The sequence below is a fragment of the Homo sapiens genome, chromosome 1 (assembly GCF_000001405.40).
Source record: "Homo sapiens chromosome 1, GRCh38.p14 Primary Assembly".
NCBI classification, from domain to species: domain Eukaryota; kingdom Metazoa; phylum Chordata; class Mammalia; order Primates; family Hominidae; genus Homo; species Homo sapiens.
Genome location: NC_000001.11, coordinates 6,590,162 through 6,603,347, shown reverse-complemented (window position 1 = coordinate 6,603,347; position 13,186 = coordinate 6,590,162). Strand labels below are relative to the sequence as shown.

The following is a 13,186-nucleotide window of genomic DNA, read 5'->3' as shown; positions in this document are numbered from 1 at the left end:
CTCAAAAGCAAAACAAAAAGCCATTGTACCCAGCCGCCCCGGGACCTGGGCCGGCGCCCTTGGGAAGTCTGGCGTGAAAGGAGGGGTGGCTTTGGTTTCAGGGCCGAGCTCGCCTCTCCCGGGTTGGGTTCAGCAGCCGGGCCGGGTGGGTCGTGGGCAACCCCGGGAGGCCCCCGGTCCCGGCGCGCGGCGAGGCCGCCCTCGGACCTGGCACTTGTCACTCGCTGTCCCCGGCCCGGGCGTCAGCGGGGAGACGCAGAAGGGCGGAGGGAGGGAGCCGGCCGCGGACAGCGGTGACTCAGCCTGCGGAGCCGGGGGCGGGCGCCGCGCGGGGGACAGGCGAGCCCGCGCTCGCGGGGGGCGGTGGCGCCCGGCACAGAGGGGTTAAGGGGGCGGTGCAGACGTCTCCCCGCCCATCCCGCCCCTCGAGAGCCGCGGCGCCCCGCCCTATTTATAGCAGCGGTGCCTAGCGCGCCGCGTCTCTCCGCAGGCCCCGGCCGCGGCGTCCTCGACAACCTATCGAAGGCGCCATGGAGCGACCGGCGCCCCTGGCCGTGCTTCCCTTCTCGGACCCCGCGCACGCCCTGAGCCTGCTGCGCGGCCTGAGCCAGCTGCGCGCCGAGCGCAAGTTCCTGGACGTGACCCTGGAGGCGGCGGGCGGGCGCGACTTCCCGGCGCACCGTGCGGTGCTGGCCGCCGCCAGCCCCTACTTCCGCGCCATGTTCGCGGGGCAGCTGCGCGAGAGCCGCGCCGAGCGGGTGCGCCTGCACGGAGTGCCTCCCGACATGCTGCAGCTGCTGCTGGACTTCAGCTACACGGGCCGCGTGGCGGTAAGCGGCGACAACGCTGAGCCGCTGCTGCGCGCCGCCGACCTGCTGCAGTTCCCGGCCGTGAAGGAGGCGTGCGGGGCCTTCCTGCAGCAGCAGCTCGACCTGGCCAACTGCCTGGACATGCAGGACTTCGCTGAGGCCTTCAGCTGCTCGGGACTGGCGAGCGCGGCGCAGCGGTTCATTCTGCGCCACGTGGGCGAGCTGGGCGCCGAGCAGCTGGAGCGGCTGCCACTGGCGCGCCTGCTGCGCTACCTGCGGGACGACGGGCTGTGTGTGCCCAAGGAGGAGGCCGCCTACCAGCTGGCGCTGCGCTGGGTCCGCGCTGACCCGCCGCGCCGCGCCGCGCACTGGCCGCAGCTGCTGGAGGCCGTGCGCCTGCCCTTCGTGCGCCGCTTCTACCTGTTGGCGCACGTCGAGGCCGAGCCGCTGGTGGCGCGCTGCCCACCCTGCCTGCGCCTGCTGCGCGAGGCGCGCGACTTCCAGGCGGCGCGCTACGACCGCCACGACCGCGGGCCCTGTCCCCGAATGCGTCCTCGCCCGTCCACCGGTCTCGCCGAGATCCTCGTGCTCGTGGGCGGCTGCGACCAGGACTGTGACGAGCTGGTCACTGTCGACTGCTACAACCCGCAGACGGGTCAGTGGCGCTACCTGGCCGAGTTCCCAGACCACCTGGGCGGAGGCTACAGCATCGTGGCGCTGGGCAATGACATCTACGTGACGGGTGAGTGGGCCAGGGGCTGGGCAGGCTCTCTGGGGTTGAACCTCGCCGGTACGGGAGCCCAGCTATTCGCGGGGGAAGCGCACAGAGCCTGGAATCCTAGGGGCGCACCTGAGTCCAAGCTGGGGCTCTGGTGACTACATGTCTCTGGGCGATACTTTTAACCTTGAAGAAGGGCCCCTTGTGTGAGCCGGGACAAGTAGCTGCTTGTGGGTCTCTGTGCCCCGTGCGGCCGGGGCTGCCAGGCTGAGCCAACTCCGTGCCCAGGAGGTGCCTCCCCACTTGGTTGGAAGATACTGGGGCATTCACCCCGCACAATGGGTGCTTTCTTTTTCTCCTTAAGGAATCCAGGGACGGGCAGGAGGCCGACGCCCGGTGAGGCATCTGTTCCCCACAAGCCGGGGAATTTCTCCCTCCCTGCTGAGCCACACCGGGCCCCCTGACTCACTCTTTGTCACCCGGTGACAAGGTTCCCTTGGGCTTGCACCTAGGCTCTGTGCTCTGGTCACATGGTGTTTAGGCTGAACTCCCCGGAGCCTGTAAACATGGTCACATGTTAAGAGGTTTTCTTCCAGTTACTTGGCCCAAACCCCAAAACACTGCCGAGTCATGGTAGGCGGGTCCCAGTCCGCCTGAGTTTGGGCTTCTACGGTTTTTATTAAAGATAAATCCCAGTTCAAACACGAGGCTACCTCCTTTGTCGGGGTGAGGAAGGGCGGTCTCTGTGACTGCTATATAAGGAAAGAACCCACCAGGCAGGCGTGTGAGGCGGTTATCAGGCAAGGAGGTGGGGACTGGGATGTCACAGCTGCTGTGCCCAGCCTTGCATGTTCGCGAGAGAGCCCACTCTGGGACGTGCTCCGAGTTCCAGTGGGGCTCTGAGGTGTCAGGTGGGACAGTTGCTGGATTCTGTTGCCACAGCTTCCTTAGCCTGCTGCTCTGAGTCCAGCCTCTGCTGGGTTCTGCCAGAATCTGTGCCTCTTTCCAATCCAAGGTTGTCCCCAAGTTGATTGGGGACCGTGTCCCTCCCCTCTTCTGAAAGTCTGACCAGTGGCTTTGAGCAGATAATTTCTTCCCAGAACTGGCCACACTGGCCCCAGCTTTCTGCACACCCTTCCATAAATGTCCCAGCAGAGCAGTTAATCCCTTGGGTTTAGGCAGGTGGCTGGTTCATTCCTTTCAGCTGCCTTTCACACAGCTCCATGGAAGGGAGGAGGCCGGCAGAGCTCACTTCCTAAGAACAAGAACTTGCTTTTCTCCCTTTAGAGCTCAGGGCTGTGAAACAGAATGTCTTGTCCGCTCTGTCCTGTGGCGCCAGCCTGGGAGGCCAAGGGGTACAGCCCCCAGGATGCTTGGGGTCCCTTCATGTCCTGGGGTTTCTAATAGACCTGGTGTAATTTACGATTACAGCCAGTACCACTTTTTATTCTTAGCTTTTTATTGAAATTGAAAATACGGGCCGGGTGCAGTGGCTCTTTGTAATCCCAGCACTTTGGGATATCAAGGTGGGTGGATCACTTCAGCTCAGGAGTTCGAGACCAGCCTGGACAACATGGCGAAACCCCGTCTGTACAAAAAATACAAAAATTAGCTGGGTGTGGCGGCATGTGCCTGTTGTCCCAGCCACTCAGGAGGCTGAGGTGGGAGGATTGCTTGAGCCCAGGAGGTGGAGGTTGCAGTAAGCTGAGATCATGCCGCTGCACTCCAGTCTGGGTGACAGAGCAAGACTCTGTCTCAAAAATAATAATAATAATACAGGCAGAAGAATATATATATATATATTATACTTACACAGCTTCGTGGATTTTTCTAAACCAAACACAGCTTTGTAACCTGCACCAGAATCGAGAAGTGGCCTCGCAGTGTAGCGTTAGGTCTCTTGCTTAAAGCAGGAAGTGGGTTTCCGCTCATCTTGTCCTGGCAGAACCTTGCTTGGAGGGTGCCCAGGAAGCCTAGGAGTTAGTGAGCAAGTCCCTGTGTGCCCTGCTGACAAGCTCTGTGGCTCCCCAGGAGAACTGTCCCAAGGCCCAGGGCTCTGGTCTGCTGAGGTGTATGTATGGCTGGGGGGCGGTGTCCAGAGGAGGCTGCTGGATTCTTCCAGCATTGCACTCAGGACCTTTGTTTGGTAGAGGCTTGGCAGCAGTCATCTCGCTGGACAGTGGTCAGCGTGTGCTTTGCCTTAGCCACAACATGTGGCCTGGGCTTTTGGGGAGAGGGTGTGCGTCTGGGGTGAAGCCCAGTGATGTTAATTCCTCCCAAGGCAGAGGCCCTTGCGGAAGTTCGGGAGGGTGCAGGTGGGTGACTCACCTGAGTGGGCTGATCTTCTGCCTGTCATGCGTCCTGGCAGGTGGGTCCGATGGCTCCCGGCTCTATGACTGCGTGTGGAGGTACAACTCAAGCGTGAATGAGTGGGCGGAGGTGGCGCCCATGCTGAAGGCCCGCGAGTACCACAGCTCCTCTGTGCTGGACGGACTGCTGTACGTGGTGGCCGCCGACAGCACCGAGCGCTATGACCACACCACTGACTCCTGGGAGGCCCTGCAGCCCATGACCTACCCCATGGACAACTGCTCCACCACTGCGTGCCGTGGCCGGCTCTATGCCATCGGCTCCCTGGCTGGCAAGGAGACCATGGTGATGCAGTGCTACGACCCGGACACCGACCTGTGGTCGCTGGTGGACTGCGGCCAGCTCCCGCCCTGGTCCTTCGCCCCCAAGACTGCGACTCTAAACGGACTCATGTACTTTGTCAGGTGAGTTCCAGGTGCCGAGCCCCACTGTGTGTTTGGTGTCTCTTACCAGGCCCTGTCTTAAGCACACATCATGGCTGTTCTCCCTTTTCCACAGATGAGAAACTGAGGCCTAGCTGGGGTTGGAGGCTGGGTCTGTCTCTTTGTTTTTGTTTTGTTTTGTTTTTGAGACGGAGTCTCGCTCTGTCGCCCAGGCTGGAGTGCTGTGGCGCAATCTCAGCTCACTGCAAGCTCCACCTTCCGGGTTCACGCCATTCTCCTGCCTCAGCCTCCAGAGTAGCTGGGACTACAGGCGCCCACCACCATGCCTGGCTAATTTTTTTGTATTTTTTGTAGAGACGGGGTTTCACCGTGTTAGCCAGGATGGTCTTGATCTCCTGACCTCATGATCGGTCCGCCTTGGCCTCCCAAAGTGCTGGGATTACGGGCGTGAGCCACTGCACCCGGTCTGTTTTTTTTTGTTTTGTTTTGTTTTTTTAAAAGAAGAGTTTCGCTTTTGTTGCCCAAGCTGGAGTACAGTGGCGCGATCTTGGCTCACTGCAACCTCTGCCTCCCAAGTTCAAGCCATTCTCCTGCCTCAGCCTGCCAAGTAGCTGGGATTACAGGCATGTGCCACCATGCCTGGCTGATTTTTATATTTTTAGTAGAGACAGGGTTTCTCCATGTTGGTCAGGCTGGTCTAGAACTCCTGACCTCATGTGATCCAGCTGCCTCAGCCTCCCAAAGTGCTGGGATTATAGGCACAAGCCACCACACCTGGCTCATTTTTTAACTTTTTGTAGAGACAGGGTCTCGCTGTATTGCCCCGGCTGGTCTCAAATTCCTAGCTTCAAACAATCGTCTCACATTTCCTGCCTCCCAGAGTGCTGGGATTGTAGGTGTGAGCCCCCACACCCAGCCAGGCCTGGTCTTTCGGAGCCCACAGTGCTTGTTCCATTCCTTTGGGTTTAAGGAAAACCCCAGGCTTTCTTAAGCGATTTCACAGGTGGTGGAGTTGAGCTCTTCCAGCAAGAGTAGGCTGTAGGCTGAGCAGCACGGAGCAGAGACAGGCAGCCTGCGGGTCATCATATGTCTGCTGGCCTTGATGACCTGTCTGGTCACAGCCAAATGCTGCCTCCGGCTGGTTTCTGGGCATCAATGATGGCACGGGGCAGCCCCTCCCTGCTGTACTCCGCTGCTTGTTCACATAATCCTGCTGCTCCCTCCCAGCCTAGAGCCTGCCTGAAGCTCTGGGTCCAGGAGGGAAGGGGAAGAACTGAATGACAGTCCCCACTGTGCCCTTTCGTGCTGGGGCTTTGAATGGGGAGCTTGGGGGATGTGAGCTCCCTGCTCCTTGGCCCCCTGCCTCGCACTGCCAGAGCTGCCCTGGCCTTGGCATCTGCCCCACCATCCCCCCAGACAGGAGGCTCCTTACCAGGCTTTTGGAGTGAGCACCAAGAAGAACAGGGGTGGCGTTGCTTGTCACGCAAGTAGCTGGGCACCACCACATGCCCAGAACCAATGGTCTTGCTCTGAGAAAGCCCTGGAATCTCAGCCAGCTCTGGTCCCATTATAAAACATCATCTGACCCTTTGCCCGGCTCTCCCTCCCCCAAGTTGTGAAGGTGTCTTCAAAGAGGGGGTGGAGATGGCTATAAATACAACTTATCAGAGGGCCAGAACCTTCCTTTCGGCCCCTAGGCAGTGGTTCCAGGCCCAGTGTCTTTGAGAGTCCTCCTCCCCTCCCCCATCTGTCCTAGAGCAAGATGTGAAGATGTGCGCCAGGGAGGTCTGCCTGCTGGGTTAACCTTCCCATAGGGAAGCATGAGGGTCTGCCCCGCCACCCCCACCCACTGCTGACCTTTCCAGGGGTTTCCTAAGCCACTTGCACGTGTGGGAGGAGGCAGTGCTCTGGAAAGGCTGCATGCGTTCATCTTACCAGTGTGACCTGTGCCGGAGCACAGAGGAGGGGCGCCCAGGCTCAGCCTGAGTGGAAGCTGCTTGAGCCCTAAAGAGAAGGCTAAGCATGCAGGGGCCCTGCTTGGGGCTGGTCCCCCTGGGCTATTTGTCCCGGTGTCACTTTGTCTGCGCACTTTGGCTCTTCAAGAGCCACATAACCCTCTGCCCAGAACACCACCTGTCTTTGGGCAGCTTGTGCCTAGGACGTGCCATTCTCAGGGAGGCCACAGCCTCAGCCGTTGTCCATGTGACCCACAAATGACCTGGGCCTCCCTCCCCTTGGTTCTGGTACAAAATGCCTCCTTGGCTGGGGTGCAGTAGCCCCCTCTGGGAATGCCGGCGAGCTCTGTCCAGCCTCTGGGCTGTGGTTTGCAAGTCTCTGCTGGGGAAAGACAGGGCAGCCTAGCAGGTTCCAGGGTGTAATCATCATCATCATCACCACCACCACAGGGCCCACAAACTGAGGGTGACTTTGACATTTTGAAATGATTGGGGGCAAAAAATCAGGAATAACATTTCAAGTTAGACGAGATGTAAATGTCTGTCCATGGATAGTTTTCTTGGCACACAGCCAGGCTCGTGTCTATGCATTGTCTGTGGCTGGTTTTGTGCTGCCGTGTCAGGTTCACAACTACTGTTGTTTGTCTTGTAGTATCTTTGTTTCTTTTTTTTGTTTTTGAGACGAAGTCTCACTCACTATGCCTCCCAGGCTGGAGTGCAATAGCACGCTCTTGGCTCACTGTAATCTCCGCCTCCCGGGTTCAAGAGATTCTCCTGCCTCAGCCACCCGGGTTCAAGCGATTTTCCTACCTCAGCCTCCTGAGCAGCTGGTATTACAGGCACATGCCACCACACCTGGCTAATTTTTGTATTTTCACTAGAGACGGGGTTTCATCGTGTTGGCCAGACTGGTCTCGAACTCCTGACCTCAGGCACTCCACCAGCCTCGGCCTCCCAAAGTGCTGCATTACAGGCGTGAGCCACAGTGCCTGGCCTGCATCTTTGCTTTTCAAGGCTGTGCCTTTGAGCCTTTTACTGTGGGGATATAAAGGGTGTCAGATGAAGTTGAAGGGTCTTGACCCCAAAGTGAGGGGTACTTCAACATAGTAGTGAACAGGACAGGGTTGGGGGCTCATAGTGATATTGGGGACAGTGGCAAGGAGTGTTCCAGGGCCTGTGGGGATGCACAGTGGAGCAAGGAGGCTTCTTTAAGATCTCAAGGGAGCTACTGTAGGCTTGGGGGGTGGGGGACAGCCACCTTGGTACTGGGTGATGGGGAGGCACTGAATGGGCTTCAAGTACTCAAAAGCCTGATCTTCAGGTTTGGGAGTGAGAGTTCTGGCCCTGGAGCCCTGGCTGAGTGGGCACAGGGGGCTGAAATTGGCTCCTAAGAGCTGGGGATGGAGCCTACCTGGCAAGGGTGCTGCTGGATGGCATCAGAAAGATCCAGGTCACTGGAGGAGTCAGTGACCCAGGGGAGGACTCTGCTCCAGCCCTGCATGTGTGCACTTCCTCCTCGCTCTGAGCAGTTGTCCTCCTGCTGCCCCCTCCACAGGGATGACTCCGCTGAGGTGGACGTGTACAACCCGACGAGGAACGAATGGGACAAGATCCCGTCCATGAATCAGGTAAATTTTCAGGCGGGCCAGCATTGGAAGCACAGGCTGGTCCTGATTTTGCAACCCAAGTGTCATCGTGATGAGTGTTTGGGATCCACAGCCATGATGGGTGGGTCTCATCTCAATTAATAGAAGGCTGCTCTTACCCTTATTTTGCACTTAAGGCTCACTGAGACACAGATGTTAAGTAATACCCTATGATTACACAGCTTAGTACACATTTGAGCAGTGTTTATTGAGTATCTGCTGTGAGCCAGAGAGCAGAAGGAAGTGAGGGAGCAAGGCATACAGTCATCTGGGGACACCTGTTCCAGAGAGGGACAGCAGGTACAGAGGCCCTGCAGCAGGGCACCCTGGCGTGTTCTTAGATACACCAGCAGCCCATGTGGCCGGAGCAGAGTCAGCATGAGGTCTGTGACCTACCTTTTTTATTTTTGAGACAGGGTCTTGCTCTGTCACCCAGGCTGGAGTGCAGTGGTACAATCATGGCTCACTGCAGCCTCCACCTCCTTGACTCGCAGTCCTCCCACCGCACCTTCCTGAATAGCTGAGACTACAGGCGTGTGCCACCACACCCAGTAATTTTTTTTCTCATATGTAGATACAAAAGGATATTCTTAAAATTTTTATAGAGACAGGGTCTTGCTGTGTTACCCAGGCTGGTCTCACACTCCTGGCCTCAAGTGACCCTCCTGTCTCAGCCTCCCAAAGTGCTAGGATTATAGGCGTGAACCACCACGCCCAGCTGGTTCCTGAGGAAGTCAGTGTGGGAATACTTTTTTTTTTTTTATACGGAGTCTCGCTCTGTCACCCAGGCTGGAGTGCAGTGGCACGATCTCGGCTCACTGCAAGCTCCATCTCCCAGGTTCACGCCATTCTCCCGCCTCAACCTCCCGAGTAGCTGGGACTACAGGTACCCACCACCACGCCCAGCTAATTTTGTTTGTGTATTTTTAGTAGAGACGGGATTTCACTGTGTTAGCCAGGATGGTCTGGATCTCCTGACCTTGTGATCTGCCTGGCTCAGCCTCCCAAAGTGCTGGGATTACAGGCATGAGCCACCATGCCCAGCCCACTGTGGGAATACTTGTGTTGAGCACTTGCTGTGTGTTCTGAATAGGACAACCAGGGTCCACCCCTTCTCTCTGGGCTTGTTGAGAAGAGGGGTGCCCAGCCTGACAGTGATGGGACAGGGAGGCTTCAGTGCCATTTGGCCATGTGAGCAGTGTTAGTCTGAGGTACACATCATATTGCCTACAGCCTTCTTTCCTGTGTGTCTGTTAACATTTCCAAACCTACACTCCGTGACATCCAGCCTCACAGCTTACATCACAGCTTAATGTCCTGGCATTTAAGAGACCCAGCGTTCTGTTTTCCCCGCAGTAAGCTGCACATAGTCATAGCGAATTTGGGAAAGATGGAAGGAATCATCCAGCCTCGCGGTTCAGAGCCCAGCTCTGCCACTGTCAGCCATGCAAGCCTCAGTTTTCCCATCTGTAACATGGGGAGAACAGCACTGCTCAGCCCAGAGGGCCACTGCAGAGATTCTGAGAGAGAACGTAGGAAGCGCTGCTCGGCACGACCTGCACACGGGGAGGCCTGGCGCTGCAGCGGGCACCCTCATCACCATAGGGAAGGCCCAGCTGCCTCCGGGGAGGCCCGTTCTCCTAGGCAGGGTGTTGGAAAGGGGTTGGCCTCTCTGCTGCTTTCTGGGAGAGCCAAGGCCACCCCTCTGGGGTACTGACAGGGCATGCCTTGTCTCCAGTGGTTCCCCAGGTGGGGCCCTGCCCTACCCTCTCCTCTGACCTCCACTCACTCATCCCTTTGGCCCACAGGTACATGTGGGGGGCAGCCTGGCCGTCCTTGGGGGGAAGCTGTACGTCTCTGGGGGATACGACAATACATTTGAACTCTCGGACGTGGTAGAGGCCTATGACCCAGAGACTCGCGCGTGGAGCGTGGTGGGGCGGCTCCCAGAACCCACCTTCTGGCATGGCAGTGTCAGCATCTTCCGCCAGTTCATGCCCCAGACCTTCTCGGGTGGGCGTGGCTTCGAGTTGGACAGTGGCAGCGATGACATGGACCCAGGCCGACCCCGGCCGCCGCGGGACCCCGATGAGCTGCACTAGCCCCAGTCTGGCCCGGCACGGGCCTCGGTGCAGGTAACTGGCACCTCTGCGGGGCAGTGCCCCACTCCTTTGTGCACAAGGACACGTTGGGCTCACAGGAGGAGCACAGGCTCTTGGGTGGCGAAGCCAGCCCAGGATCCATTACCTGGAAGGTTTCTGTACCTTGAGAGCCTGAATCAGAGGCCGTCGGGAACGCCCTCCCTGCAGTTGAGGAAGAGCCACTTTCCTGCCAGCACATGTTTCTGGGTCTTGGAGGTCACCCCCACCCCGCGGATCACAGCTCACCCACGCGGCGCACACCCCTCCTGCCGTTGTCATCTGCACCTACTTGTTCCCACCTTGGGAGAGGACGATGACTTGGGAGGGACGCGTGAAGGGAGAAGGGGTCCTCCCATGAGGCTGAGGATGGCCTGAACCTGGAGCAGCGGACCAGGCAGACGGGCTGAAGTGGGGTCCCAAATTCCATGTCCAGAGGTGTGGGGAGCCTGCCTCCCTAGCTCCTGGCCCCTGCCAGGGGCTTACATCAAAACACCTCAGAGGGCTGCCCTCCAGAGGCTGCACCCAGAACAGTGGGACATGAGCAGGGGTGTGGGCTTGGAGGGTGAAGAGGATGTGGTCCTATCAGATGCTGGGCCTCCTCAGCCATAGCCCCCTGCTCCTACCCCCTGACTGGCTCTTGCGTCCTCACCTCTCACCCTCTCCTTCCCGGGAGGCCCTGGGAGGTGATCATTGACACCCAGCCAAGCAGACAGCTGCGGGTGCCCAAGCCCTTGCTGGGCCTGCGCGTGAGGAGTCCCACTGCTTCTAAAGGAAGTCCTGGGCAGGAGGTGGCTTTGGTGGTTGGTTCCAAAGTTGAAAATGCTTGCAGTTTGACCTTAGAAGAAGTGGGAAGAAGAAGGAGCTCTACAGGGTCAGCTTTGTTTGATTTGTCCAGTCTAAGAAGTCCCATTGCCAAAGCTTTCTGCAGGAGGGTGAATGCCGCAGCTTGGCAGCCCCTGGGTTTCTCTTGGAAATGGTCAGTTTCCCCTCAAAGTACCCAAAGTAGCCTTGGCTTGAGTTTTTGTCCTTGCCTCCTTTTTAGAGAAGAGGGCATTTAGACTGCATTTTCCTGGTTAAAGAAGGTTAAAGCAAATGTTTATTGCCTTTTCTAGTGAACTAACTCGTAGAGATGTTCTCAGCAGGAAGACAGTCTTAGCACTGTCACTTAGCAGATTGCACTTAAGTCCCTTGTGCTGGCCAGATGGCGTGGCTGGTTGCCTTAATATGTCCCAGGACCCCTGACAGGGCTGCCTGGCCTCTCCCTCGTGCTCCTCAAGAGCCCAGTCCATACACTGTGGATGTCATTGCTGTCGGGTTAGGAAGTCTTGTCCTAGAACGCCCTGGCTGGTATGACCACAGTTCATGGCGGCTCTTCTCGCTTGGGTCATGGTCATCTTCCAGCACCTGCTGTGCTGGGAAGGCCGAGGATGGGGGCCCAGCACTGTCCAGGCCTGCTGGGGCCTGGCTGGGAGTCCTGTGGGCAGCATGGAACATGCAGCTGGGCTTCCTGTGACCAGGCACCCTCTGGCACTGTTGCTTGCCCTGTGCCCTGGACCTTTTCCTGCCCTTCTCCTTCCTCTGCTCCCTTGGGGCTACCCCTTGGCCCCTCCTGGTCTGTGCAAACTCCCTCAGGGAGCCCCCCTGCCCTGTAGCTCTCGCTTAACTTCCTAGGGGCTGCTGAGCCCACCCAGAGGTTGTTGGAGTTCAGCGGGGCAGCTTGTCTCCCTTGTCAGCAGGGGCGTAAGGGCTGGGTTTGGCCATACAAGGTTGGCTACGCCCTCAATCCCTGACCGTTCCAGGCACTGAGCTGGGCACCCACGGAAGGACATGCTGTCCAGACTGTGATGACTGCCAGCACAGGGCATCTCGGGCTTGGCTGGTCTGCGAGGCCTTGCCCCTGTGGAACTCTGGGTTCCTGTTTTCTCAGTCTTTTTTGCGGCTTTGCTGTGGTTGGCAGCTGCCGTACTCCAGGCTTGTGTCGGCCACTCAGATGAGGGCTGTGGTGCGAGCCAGTGCAGGAGAGCTGCGCTTGGGATTGTGCCCTCTCCTGTGTCTGTCCTCCGGACCTACCCAGGTCTCCACCATCAGGACCCTGTCTTTGGGTTTAGAAGACCAAGTATGGGGAAAACCAGGCACCAGCCTCTGCAGCAATGGGTCCCTCTAGCCTGTGGACACCAGCTGGGGGATCCAGGGTCAGGCCCCCTCCTCTCCCCAGTTTCCCTCTGCTGTGGGTTCTGGGCTGTCATGTCTCCACCACTTAAGGATGTCTTTACACTGACTTCAGGATAGATGCTGGGATGCCTGGGCATGGCCACATGTTACATGTACAGAACTTTGTCTACAGCACAAATTAAGTTATATAAACACAGTGACTGGTATTTAATGCTGATCTACTATAAGGTATTCTATATTTATATGACTTCAGAGACGCGTATGTAATAAAGGACGCCCTCCCTCCAGTGTCCACATCCAGTTCACCCCAGAGGGTCGGGCAGGTTGACATATTTATTTTTGTCTATTCTGTAGGCTTCCATGTCCAGAATCCTGCTTAAGGTTTTAGGGTACCTTCAGTACTTTTTGCAATAAAAGTATTTCCTATCCATTTGGAGTCATTGCCTTTGTCCTCCTGCTACTGTCTTCTGGGACTCTTGGGCTGAGGACAGATGTCAGGGGAACAGGCAGCATGGAGCCCAGGGTTCACACTGAGGGTCTTAAACAGCCTTCCAGGCCCTTTCTCATCTCAGATTGTAGCAAGTGATGAAGCGTTGGAAAAGACATGCCCCAGAGGCTGGGTGTGGTGGCTCACACCTGCAATCCCAGTGCTTTGGGAGGCTGAAGAGGGAGGATCACTTGAGCCCAGGGGTTCAAGACCACCCTGAGCAATACGGGAAGACCTTGTCTCCATTTAAAGAGAGAGGCCTGAGAAGTAAATGCTGTGGAACAGATGATGCCCAGGAAACCTGCCTGCTCCAAAGCTGGTCTTTGCCTGTTGGTCCTCTGCCCGGGCCCGGCTCCCACAGCCCTTCTTGAGATTGCGGTACATACAGGTGGTGATGAGACTCCCATCTGCGATGAGATGGCCCTTGGACCTGGGGAGGTGGAGCCCTTCAAATACAGTCCCAAACCAGGCTGTGAATCCACACAAGCCGTCTGGCTCAAGATGT

At 57.7% G+C, this 13,186-nt stretch overlaps 1 protein-coding gene across 2 annotated transcripts, besides 6 other annotated features; it reads left to right on the top strand.

Annotated features, from left to right (window-relative positions):
* Positions 74-463: a silencer, noted in NCBI's record as "silent region_166". NCBI's record gives its function as "represses an Ori minimal core promoter by ATAC-STARR-seq in GM12878 lymphoblastoid cells {active_cell/tissue: GM12878}" and the evidence as "EXISTENCE:reporter gene assay evidence [ECO:0000049][PMID:35858748]".
* On the top strand, positions 479-12,624 carry KLHL21 (kelch like family member 21). 2 transcript variants are annotated; one of them, NM_014851.4, is made up of 4 exons: positions 479-1,551; positions 3,896-4,301; positions 7,791-7,863; positions 9,690-12,624. In NM_014851.4, exons 1-4 carry the CDS (start codon positions 531-533, stop codon positions 9,981-9,983), a joined length of 1,794 nt encoding a protein of 597 aa, NP_055666.2. In that variant the 5' UTR covers positions 479-530; the 3' UTR covers positions 9,984-12,624. The 2 variants fall into 2 exon arrangements, with proteins under 2 accessions (NP_055666.2, NP_001311238.1); NM_001324309.2 differs by having other exon boundaries at positions 9,238-12,624.
* Positions 1,064-1,223: a silencer, noted in NCBI's record as "silent region_165". NCBI's record gives its function as "represses an Ori minimal core promoter by ATAC-STARR-seq in GM12878 lymphoblastoid cells {active_cell/tissue: GM12878}" and the evidence as "EXISTENCE:reporter gene assay evidence [ECO:0000049][PMID:35858748]".
* Positions 1,404-1,483: a silencer, noted in NCBI's record as "silent region_164". NCBI's record gives its function as "represses an Ori minimal core promoter by ATAC-STARR-seq in GM12878 lymphoblastoid cells {active_cell/tissue: GM12878}" and the evidence as "EXISTENCE:reporter gene assay evidence [ECO:0000049][PMID:35858748]".
* Positions 1,744-1,793: an enhancer, noted in NCBI's record as "active region_85". NCBI's record gives its function as "activates an Ori minimal core promoter by ATAC-STARR-seq in GM12878 lymphoblastoid cells {active_cell/tissue: GM12878}" and the evidence as "EXISTENCE:reporter gene assay evidence [ECO:0000049][PMID:35858748]".
* Positions 1,824-1,963: an enhancer, noted in NCBI's record as "active region_84". NCBI's record gives its function as "activates an Ori minimal core promoter by ATAC-STARR-seq in GM12878 lymphoblastoid cells {active_cell/tissue: GM12878}" and the evidence as "EXISTENCE:reporter gene assay evidence [ECO:0000049][PMID:35858748]".
* Positions 3,219-4,418: an enhancer, noted in NCBI's record as "CDK7 strongly-dependent group 2 enhancer chr1:6658990-6660189 (GRCh37/hg19 assembly coordinates)". NCBI's record gives its function as "activates an origin of replication core promoter dependent on BRD2, BRD4, P300/CBP, MED14 and CDK7 cofactors, with strong dependence on CDK7, by STARR-seq in HCT116 cells {active_cell/tissue: HCT116}" and the evidence as "EXISTENCE:reporter gene assay evidence [ECO:0000049][PMID:35650434]".
* Positions 12,625-13,186: the final 562 nt, after the last annotated feature.

What these genes read in the sequence shown, in the direction of transcription:
- KLHL21 (NM_014851.4), top strand. Translation starts at nt 531, where the DNA reads ATGGAGCGACCGGCGCCCCTGGCCGTGCTTCCCTTCTCGGACCCCGCG. An exon ending in CAATGACATCTACGTGACGG is followed by an intron (nt 1,552 to 3,895) that starts GTGAGTGGGCCA and finishes GCGTCCTGGCAG; the next exon opens with GTGGGTCCGATGGCTCCCGG. An exon ending in AGATCCCGTCCATGAATCAG is followed by an intron (nt 7,864 to 9,689) that starts GTAAATTTTCAG and finishes TTTGGCCCACAG; the next exon opens with GTACATGTGGGGGGCAGCCT.